Source organism: Homo sapiens, chromosome 7, assembly GCF_000001405.40.
Source record: "Homo sapiens chromosome 7, GRCh38.p14 Primary Assembly".
In the NCBI taxonomy this organism is placed as follows: Eukaryota; Metazoa; Chordata; class Mammalia; order Primates; family Hominidae; genus Homo; species Homo sapiens.
In genome coordinates, this window is record NC_000007.14 from 48,111,175 (window position 1) to 48,122,561 (window position 11,387).

Genomic DNA, 11,387 nt, shown 5'->3' on the forward strand with positions numbered 1-11,387 from the left:
TTTGGCTTATTGTCCCATTTTAATGTCTCTCTGGCTGTAATAATTTGAAAGGTCTCAAATTCCTCAGATGAAAGTTATTTTCTTTCCTCATTTGGCTACCAAGATGTCTCTGGAGCTGACGTTATAAATGTCCTCACATGAGTGTTACTTGAATTCCTCGGGAGACGACCAGAAACTTGGTCCCCTTCCTCACCCCGCACTGGCCACTCTTTGACTTTCAGGCCCTTGTGCCACGCTGGTATCATTGGCTTGGTCCCCTTGTGGGGGCTTCCCACAACCTGGGCACTGGCCCCTTCCTCAACCCCTCCTCCATTCCCAGCGCTGGTGATAAAGACTCTTCTGAGCAGGAATATAATGACACCAACATGGTTCACTTTCGGTGCTTTCAGCAAGGCAGAGAGAATTAGGAATGTAATTGGGATTGTTCTGATGGAACTAATTACCCTGGATTTCAAAAATCGTTGTCAGCGAGTTCACTCCATGTTTTCCTCTAGTGCAGTCCTTAAGTGATATGCTCAGAATGCCTCCCACTAATGTGAAAAAAAAATGTTAATAATTATCCAGCCCTTTGTAAATTGGAAAATCAGCACGTCACTAGTGAGTTAGTCAAGAGTTTACCTCAGGAAGCCTGCCACGCTCTCACATAAAAGGTTGGGCTTTGGTGTCAATTGCAGAGGTGGCCACGCTCCTCCTGCTGCCTCCTCGCGGTCCAGTCTCATCACAGCGGTGACAATGCCACCTTGACCAGAAACAATGAGATGATGGTTTGTCTTTATAAATGACAATAGGGACAGTGGAATATGTTAGAGCATGAGCTGTGCGTCTCCTATACCTTTATCCTTAAGCCTAGCACTAAGCCACGTTTTAAAGCCAGGTGTCCATCATATATTGTATTATCCGGTAATTCCACTCCTGCTCCTGGGCTTGCATGGAGAGAACTCATGTGGCCCAGGAAACATGGACAGGAATGTTCATAATTGCAAAGGCCTCGGTAACAAAAGCCAGAAGTCCCCAAATATCCATGTGCCAGAGAACAAATGCAATGAGTTTGGTGTGCTCAGATGATGAAAAACAGTGAAAATAAATGCAGACACCTTCACCATCAGTACAGAACCATCTCAGGTAACATTCTAAGTGAAAAAAGCAAATTGTAGAATAGTACCTACAACATGATTCCATTTATATAAAGTTTGAAAATGGACAAAACTAAACAATATGTTGTTTAGGATTACGTGCATTTCATTGTAAGACTAGGGGAAAAAACTCCACCAGGGATTGAGAAACCCCAATTGAGATCAGGAGTTTCCTCTGTTGGGAGGCAGGGTGCATTTGGGAGGAGGGGGGACCCCCAAGGACATCAAAGATGTTCTGTTTCCTAGGTTAGGAATGACTTTCACATCAGGGCTTCTGGGTTCCATTGCAGCTTACTCATATTTCAGTACTCCTTGGTATGTATGTAATAGTAGAATATCATCTCATTAATCACCACCCAGACATTAGGCTCAACTTATAAAATAAGGAAGCAGTGCTAGTATAAGAAAATAGTACTGCTCTGCTGGTGCTTAGTAGTTTTTCAGTTACCACGTACATGAAGGAGAGTGATTTCTGACCGATTTTCATGGAGTAGGATCAGCTCTGCAGATGTGAGCTTTTAATAATAGCTAATATGTATTGAGCCATCGTTGTCAGGCCCCTTGTGTGGAACTTCCATCAGCGATCCTGCCTGGCCCTCTCCCCATCTGTGTTATCCCCAAATGCCAGATGAGGACACAGCCTGGGCTCAGGTCTGTGTGAGGGTTGGGACTGTGCGGCCACAGTGTGTTATTCACATATGTGCACACATACACACCTGTGCGTTTCCATGCACATTCATGCACACATTGTCATACATGCACAGCCATGCAGAAGTTTACTTACTAGGAAAAGAGTAGCACTCAGTTCTCTGGACTTCACAAGGAGAGGAGAACACAGGTATGAATGTCAGTCCTTGGCATCCCAGCGTAGTCTGTGCTGCGGTGGGGTGGGGTGGGGGCTGGTAAGAGTTCTCCTTTAGGGTCTCTTTCAGTGAATGTTTTGTAGGAAGAAAATTTTAAAAAGGGTAAAATCATGACTGCCATACAGAAATGAAATGAACATGTGTGTTATGGAAATAAAGCCAACCCGCCAGTGGTAGGCCTTTCCATGTCCAGTCTAGGAGAGAGAAAGCCCCAGTTATGTGTGCTGAGACTCCACGCGTGTGGGAGGGGACTATGTGGAGGGAGTCTTACATTACACAGTGAAGTGGAGGAAAAATGAGAACTTCCCCCAGATCTCCTTGAAGGGTGACTGGATGATCTTGTGACAGTCCCTGCGTGCCTCCCGAGGGTGCCTGAGTTATTTGGGTGCATGTGTTCCCAGTTCTAGGGGGCAGAAGGCCCTAGACCTTGCTTTATAAAATCAAAATCTCTCACCCGGCTGATTCTGGAGGCACTCTAAGGAGGGAGGAGGGAAGCAACTACCTCCCACAAGAAAGGTTCATCATTTTATCCTTACACATGGAAAATACTTTTTTTTTTTTTGAGACAGTCTTATTCTGTCATCCAGGCTAGAGTGCAGTGGTGCTATCTCAGCTCAGTGCAAATTCTGCCTCCCAGGTTCAAGCTATTCTCCTGCCTCAACCTCCTGAGAGCTGGGACTACAGTCATGTACCACCACGCCAGGCTAATTTTTGTAATTTTAGTAGAGATGAGGTTTGGCCACGTGGGCCAGGCTGGTCTGGAACTCCTGACCTCAAGTGATCCACCCGCGTGACCTGCCCACCTCGGCCTCCCAAAGTTCTGGGATTATAGGCATGAGCTGCTGAATTGCACTCACCATGAGGGAAGCTGGCAGGTGCTGTGACTGGTTCTCAGAGGCAGTCCCAGTGGCAGGAGTTCACACGGAGTGAGGAGCATGAAGTACAGATGGAAGCAGAGCCAGCCTCTCAGCAGGGCCCACAGGGGCAGTCAAGCCTCTCCAGGCAGGACAGAAGTTCTCTACAATTCCCAGGGTTGCAAATAGCTCCTGTGGAAGGGACGCCAGAAGCCCTGCAGAGGCACCTTGCAGAGTCTGGACAAGGCAGGGTTCCCTGCAGGGCCCCACGGCTTCCCTCCAGTGTGCCGCGGCCAGAGGCAAAAGGACGTGGTGGTGGACTGCCTTGCTGGCAGGTTCCCAGGCCTGTCTGGGCAGGTTCCTCCCTTCACTGAACAGCAGTTTCCTTTCCTACGAAATTCCATGTACCACACAGGGCTCTTGTGACGATGGGATGAGGTCACAGGTAGAGAAGCACGGGTGCGAGGGGCTCATGAACAGATTTAAACTCTTCCCCAGATAGCTGAGCTTGGTGCCATTTGCCCTGGGGCCTCTTTCTGGCTCACATTTTCCTCCTGTGGCAGTAGTTCCCTGAGGCCAATCCAGTCTCACCTCAACCTTAAACACCCCTCCTTGTGCCCGGCCAGTTGTCACTTGTTATCTGAGGGCTGCACCCCTGCATCCCTGCCCTCCTTCTCACTGAGGACACAGCGGGTCCCCTCTTTCTAGTCCCACGCAAGGATCACTCCTCGGGGCTAGCTCTGGGCTTTGGTTCACGTGCCCCACACCCAGTCCACGCCAGGCTGGCCTCTGGAAGGTGAGCTTCTCACTGGGGACAGGATACAGGGTAGTGTGGCCCAGGAAGGACATCTGGTCGGGGGGCTGAGGAGAGGGAGGTGGAGGTTGGGAGAGAGGCAGGACAGGCAGGATGGAAACTGTGTTTGTCCATTTGCACTGCTATACAGAAATACATGAGACTGAGTCACTTATAAAGGAAAGAGGCTTAATTGGCTCATGGTTCTGCAGACGGTGCAGGAAGCATGGCCCTGGCATCTGCTTCTGGTGAGGCTTACAATTATGGCGGAAGGGAAGGGGAGCAGGTGTGTCACATGGGGAGAGAAGGAGCAAGAGAGACGGGAGCAAGTCCCAGATTCTTTTAAACCACCAGATCTCATGTGAACTCACTCATCACCAAGGGGAGGGCACCAAGCTATTCATGAGGGGTTCACTCAACACCTCCCACCAGGCCCACCTTTAACACTGGGAATAACATTCAACATGAGATTTGGAGGGGACAATCATCCAAACTATACCAGGAACAGTACTTGGGGATGGTTCGTATGTGTGTGTGTGTGTGGTTTTGTGTGTGTGTGTGTCTGTGTGTGTTTGTGTGTGTGTCTGTGTGTGTGATCAAGGTGTGGGCAGAACTGGTTCCTTTTGAGGCCTCTCTCCTGGGCTTGCAAATGGCTGCCTTCTTGCTGTGTTCTCTGTTGTCTTCCCTCTGTACGTGTCTGTGTCCTAATCTCCTTTCTTATAAGGACACCAGGCATATTGGATCAGGCCCAACACAATGACTCTGTTTATTCATTCATTCATTTATTTTAAAAAATAGAGATGGGGTCTCAGTATGTTGCCCAGGCTGGTCTTGAACTCCTGGCCTCAAGTGATCCTCCTGCCCCAGCCTCTCAAAGTGGTGAAATTACAGGCATGAGCCACCAAGCCCAGCCCCAATGACTCCATTTAAATGTAATCACTTCTTTAAATACTCCAGGTAGACCACAGTTGCATTCTGAGGTCCTAGGTGTTAGCACTTCAATACATGACTTTTGAGGAAAAACAATTCAGCTTATAACCAGAAGGAGCTGGCGTGAGGGCCTTGTGAAAACAGAGGCACATAAATATTAATGGTGTTGATCTACTGTCTTGGATGTAATACAGATACATCCAGCCCTAGTCCCAAAACAAATGACCTTCAGTCAGAGGTAATTTTTTAAGTGTGCATTTCCATAGGAGCAACCAATGTGTAAGAGCAGGTTGCTCAAAATTAATCTGGTTTTAAAAAATTCTACCCACTTTGCTTTTCAACTAGAACATCATGATCCTTCCATATCACCTTTCCACTAACTGTGTTGCTGCCACTTACCAGGCCACCTGTGGGGACTGGTCACCAGTGGACACACGGCCGAGATTGCCTGTGTGGACTGGTCACCGGTGGATGCAGGGCTGTGATTCCCCCTGTGTGGGCTGGTCACTGGTGGACACAGGGCTGTGATTCTCAGTGTGGACTGGTCACCAGTGGATGTAGGGCTGTGATTCCCCCTGTGTGGGCTGGTCACTGGTGGACACAGAGCTGCGATTCCCCATGTGTGGGTTGATCACTGTTGGACACGGTGCTGTGATTCTCCTTGTGTGGACTGATCACCAGTGGATGTGGGACTGCGATTCTCCCTGTGTGGACTAGTCAATGGTGGATATGGGCCTGTGATTCCCCCTGTGTGGGCTGGTCACCAGTGGATGTAGGGCTGTGATTCCCCCTGTGTGGGCTGGTCACTGGTGGACACGGGGCTGCGATTCCCCGTGTGTGGGCTGATCACTGTTGGACGCGGTGCTGTGATTCTCCCTGTGAGGACTGGTCACCAGTGGACGTGGGACTTCAATTCCCCCTGTGTGGGCTGGTCACTGGTGGACATGGGGCTGTGATTATTCCTGTGTAGGCTGGTCACTGGTGGACGTGGGGTTGCGATTCCCACTGCGTGGGCTCGTCACTGGTGGATGTGGGGCTGTGATTCCAGTGCTGGGTAAGCAGATGCTTAGAGAGCTTCAGACCCTGGCACGGGTGATGAAGAATGACAATATGGCAGAAGACGAGAGAGGGTTCTTTTGGGAGTGGCTACTTTAGAATGATTGTTGGGGGTTATGATACCCACTTGGTTGTTGGGGGAACAGGAACAGGAAGTCTGTGGCTCCAGCAGAGGAACTTGCCAGATACATGCCAGAGGAATGAACGTGGCATGTGAGAAGATTCCAGTGAAGGGGACTAGTGGTGTGGCATACAAGGTGGCTCTGAGCTGCTGAGAGCAGATTACACAGATTCCTGTAGATCACACGTGTCCCTGTAGACCACACAGGTTCCTATAGACAGAACAGGTCCCTGTAGACCACACAGGTCCCCATAAACCATACAGGTCCCTTTAGACAGGATAGGTCACTCTAGAGCACACAAGTCTCTGTAGACCACATTTTCTTTTTTTTTTTTTTTAAGTTCACTGAAAAATGCATGCTACAAATATAACCAAATTTTATAGCAGGAGGAAATAAGTGAAACCAAGTAAAACCAATTATAATAAAATTGAGAAAATATGGGCAGCCAAAATAATGGAAAATAGCATTTTTCATGGTGCTGTCACATTTTTCATTGCAAATCTAAGAACTAAATCAATGTCGAAGCAATCACGTTTATGAGATTTCCATCAAGTTATATTTATTCATCTTATTCTTCAAATTGAAACTTTATTACAGTTTAGATTAGAAAGCAAAACTTGCTAATATTTTTATGTGTATTAAAGCAAATTTGACAACAATGTTTCATATTCTGTAACTTGGCTTTGGTCGTTATTTTGAAAATGACTTTCCATGTTTTTCTTACAGGGCCCAAAAGGTAATCCTGGCCCAGTGGTATGGATGTCTCCATGTTTTCTGTCATTTAGGATATAGGTCTTTGAAAGAAAAGAATCAGGAAGATGGCCTGCTTTCTTAGGTGTTCATCAGTTAACATGTTTGAGGTGACAAGCAGGCCACCAAAGAAATGCCAACATCCATCTTTCCCTCCCTCCCTCCCTCCCTTCCTTCCTTCTTTCCTTTTTTTTCTTTCATTTTTTGAGACAGAGTCTCACTCTGTTGCCCAGGCTGGAGTGCAGTGACGTGATCTCGGCTCACTGCAACCTCTCCCTCCTGGGTTCAAGTGATTCTCCTGTCTCAGCCTCCCGAGTAGCTAGGATTACAGGCACGCACCACCATGCCCAGCTAATTTTTGTATTTTCAGTAGAGACGAGGTTTCACCATGTTGGCCAGGCTGGTCTTGAACTCCTGACCTCATGATCCGCCTGCCTCGGCCTCTCAAAGTGCTGGGATTACAGACGTGAGCCACCACACCCGGCCTGTTCTTTATTTTTAAGAGGCATTAGAGCTGATGTTGTCACTGCCCTTGAGGTTCGCCTCTTCCCATCAGTGTGTTTAAATCATCCTGCGTTGGAGGACGGCGCACAGAAAGCTCTGATAAATGGGACGGTTTCTTTTAATAGCTCTCTTGATGATTGATTCTATTTTAAGTAGATTGTGGGAGATAAATACTGACTGGAGAGAAATTCCTTCACATATCTGCCACCTCCCAAACAAAAAAGAAAGGAACTGTTTCTCTGCTTTAAACCAGACCACATTTTCTTCATCCAATCTGCTGTTGAGGGGCACCTTGGTTGACTCCATGTCTTTGCTATTGTGAATAGTGTTGTGATGAACATACGAGTGCATGTGTCTTTTTGGCAGAACAATTTATTTTCCTTTGGGTGTATACCCAGTAATGGGATTGCTATAGGTTAAATGGTAGTAGGACATAGGAATCTTTCGATTTCTATCTCTTTGGAAATCTGTTTCCTGATATAAAGGAGCAAATTGAAGATAATGTAATTGGATACAGGTCAGCCCTTTGATATCACTTGGGCTGCAATCCAGTTCTTTGAGGAATTACAAACAACTGTCCTTGTCTTATAAATTGAGCCTTTACAAAAACAAAAATGTGACTCTGGAAGCAATTCAAAACTCATCCATCCTACTTCCCAACCCTCAAACCTCCTCTATTCACCTGGAGATGCATCAGGTACTGTACAGTCAGGACACTGAAAATGTAGGCATCCTGCATCTAAGAAAAGAGGAAGAAGTTTAAATAGTCATAACCTAAAACTCTGATCATAGGCAAATGTGCTCCAGAACTCTTTGTTTTTGCCTTTTCTTTTTTTTCCCCATACGTTATTGGGGTACAGGTGATGTTTGGTTACATAAGTTCTTTAGTGGTGATTTGTGAGATTATGGTGCAGCCATCACCTGAGCAGTATACATTGTACCCTATGTGTAGTCTTTCAACTCTCGCTCCCCTCCAATCCTTCCCCGCAAGTCCCCAAAGTCTGCTGTATCATTCTTATGCCTTTGTGTCCTCAAAGCTTAGCTCCCACTTATCAGTGAGAACATATGGTGTTGGTTTTTCCATTCCTGCAGAACTCTTTCTTGAAGAAAACTTCCATCTTTTCTCTGTGCCATTGAGGTGTAAATCTTCTACTCTGTCTTCTCTTGGACCAAAAAGCCATCTCTTTGAAACTTCCAGGGAGTTACAAACTTCCAGGAAAATTACTTTCTACCCCCAAACCCAAGGGAAACAAAAGTGGGGTTAGGGGAGGCTATTAAGAAAAAAACTGGCAAATAAAAATTCCTGAAGATTTCTTCCACAAATATTGGTAAGAAACTTTAGCCATCTGAGCAGATTTGTCTCATCTTCCAGAAGCAACTTAAATTCAGCTATTTTTAAAATATAAACTACCGAGCTTTGTGTTATTGTATTGTAAAATTTTAAAACAAAAGCTACATAATCTCTATTTGCATCTGTCTGTTTATATATGTGTGTTTGCATGTTATGTTATGTAGTATGATATTTTTCTACCTTCGGATGATATGAAATTAATATATAAAATCCCTTAAAGGCATTCTATTTAATTAGCTTGAATAAAATAAGTGCTTACATAAATTTAGTATTCCTTTTTTTTTTTTTTTTTTTGAGATGGAGTCTCGCTCTGTATCCCAGGCTGGAGTGCAGTGGCACGATCTCAGGTCACTGCAACCTCTGCCTCCTGGTCCTGGTTCAAGCAATTCTCCTGCCTCAGCCCCCTGAATAGCTGGGATTACAGGCACGTGCCACCTTGCCCAGCTAATTTTTGTATTTTTAGTAGAGACAGGGTTTCACCATGTTGGCCAGGCTGTTCTTGAACTCCTGACCTCATGATCCACCTGCCTTGGCCTCCCAAAGTGCTCACAGGCTTGAGCCACCGTGCCCGGCCAATTAAGTATTCTTAAGACTTTCAGAGGTGTAGAAATGAGTCCAAACGTTTCTTTTTTTAAGTTCACGTAATTTGTGATACTCTTTGGTAAAGAAAGTTTTAAGATTGCTGACAAAATAAAAACACGGTTTCCAGAGCTGTTAGCATTAAACATAATAAAGACATACACTTTTTTCTACCTAGTTTACTAGTCAAACAAACTTATGTTATCTCTATTAGATGTTTAAGATTACAAAGCTATAAATCCAACCTAAGAACAACATTAAGAACAAATTGCTTGATGCATGTTAAGTGTGGCAGTGAGGAAAACAAATAAAGAAGAACCATATATTTGCTGTTGTAATTTCCTTGCTTCTGTGATTTTTTTTTACTACTTGCCTGATATGTCAACAATAAAAAAATTAAATAATTTAGAATGATAGCTACTTTTGTTTAATGTCTCATGAAATTTTCCTGAGCAGTACTGGTGGGAATAGGCCCCCAAAATCTGGCCATAAACTGGCCCCAAAACTGGCCATAAACAAAATCTTTGCAGCACTGTGACATGTTCGTGATGGCCATGATGCCCATGCTGGAAGGTTGTGGGTTTACTGGAATGAGGGCAAGGAATATCTGGCCCACCCAGGGCGGAAAAACGCTTAAAGGCGTTCTTAAACCACAAACAATAACATGAGCGATCTGTGCCTTAAGGACATGCTCCTGCTGCAGATAACTAGCTGGAGCCCATCCCTTTATTTCGGCCCATCCCTTTGTTTCCCATAAGGAATACTTTTAGTTAATCTATAATCTATAGAAACAATGCTTATCACTGGCTTGCTGTCAATAAATACTTGGGTAAATCTCTGTTCGAGGCTCTCAGCTCTGAAGGCTGTGAGACCCCTGATTTCCCACTCCCCACCTCCATATTTCTGTGTGTGTGTCTTTAATTCCTCTAGCGCTGCTGGGTTAGGGTCTCCCCAGCCAAGCTGGTCTCAGCACAGTACAAATATAATTGTTAAGAATAAGTAAATTACATAAATGTAAGTGAGATTAAAAATGTACAAATGAACTATTCAGCAATGATTATGTTTTATAATATGTCTGCCTGAAAACACTTTTCAGTCTTTTGGTAACTTGCAACCTTAAGGTTATGCTAAATTAAATTAAGTCATAGATATTCATTAACTGTCTGGGTCATTCCTAAATAAGATAAGCTATTGAAATGTTAATTACTAAGCAGGAGTAGGCACTTATAAACCTTGTTTTTATGTGATATAAAGTAAATATATTCAAATTTATTAATAAACAAGAAATTGTAATATGAGGAAATAGCAAAGAGCTACAAAAATGTGAGAGGAATCCTTTTTTAAAATTCAATTTAATTTTTAATTTTTTTATTTCAATAGGTTTTGAGAGAACAGGTGGTTGTTGGTTACGTGGATAAATTCTTTGGTGGTGATTTCTGATATTTTAATGCACCTGAGCAGTGTACACTGCACCCAATGTGTAGTCCTTTAAACCTTACCTTCCTCCCATCCTTCCCCACAAGTCCTCAAAGTTTGTTGTGTCATTCTTATGCCTTTGCATCCTCATAGCTTAGCTCCCACTTATAAGTGAGAACATACAATGTTTGGTTTGCCATTCCTGAGTTACTTCACTTAGGATAATAATCTCCAACTCCATCCAGGTTGCTGTAAATGCCATTATTTCATTCCTTTTTATGCCTGAGTAGTATTCCATCGTGTGTGTACGTATGTGTGTGTGTGTATATATATATATATATATATATATATATATATAAAAATATATATATATATATATATATATATATATATATATATATATATATATATAAATACAAATTTTATTTATCCACTTGTTTATTGATGGACATTTGGGCTGGTTCCATATTTTTGCAGTTGCAAATTATGCTGCTATAGACATGTGTGTGCAAGTGTCTTGTTCATATAATGACTTCTTTTTCTTTGGGTATATACCCAGGAGTGGAATTGCTGGATCAAATGGTAGATGTACTTTTAGTTCTTTAAGGAATTTTCACACCGTTTTCCATAGTGGTTGTACTAGTTTACATTCCCGCTAACAGTGTAAAAGTGTTCCCTTTTCACCACATCCATGCTGACATCTATTATTTTTTGATTTTTTGATTATGGCCATTCTTGCAAGAGTAAGGTGATACCGCATAGTGGTTTTCATTTGCATTTCCCCGATAATTAGTGATGATGAGCATTTTCTCATGTTTGTTGGCCATTTGTATATATTCTTTTGAGAATTATCTATTCATGTCCTTAGTCCACTTTTTGATGGTATTGTTTGTTTTTTTCTTGCTGACTTGTTTGAGTTCCTTGACGATTCTGGATATCAGTCCTTTGTCAGATGCATAGTTTGTGAAGATTTTCTCCCAGCCTGTGGGTTGTCTGTTTACACTGCTGATTATTTCTTTTGCTGTGCAGAAGCTTT

At 43.8% G+C, this 11,387-nt stretch overlaps 1 long non-coding RNA gene across 2 annotated transcripts; it reads right to left on the bottom strand.

Annotated features, from left to right (window-relative positions):
* Positions 1-3,201, bottom strand: LOC105375271 (uncharacterized). Of its 2 annotated transcripts, none has more exons than XR_927253.3 (4): positions 2,854-3,201; positions 1,918-2,058; positions 619-739; positions 1-530 (listed from the first exon to the last, which is right to left on the bottom strand). It is a non-coding gene; the product is annotated as an uncharacterized LOC105375271 (long non-coding RNA). The 2 variants fall into 2 exon arrangements; XR_007060320.1 differs by having other exon boundaries at positions 329-530; positions 1,918-2,010; positions 2,854-2,983.
* Positions 3,202-11,387: the final 8,186 nt, after the last annotated feature.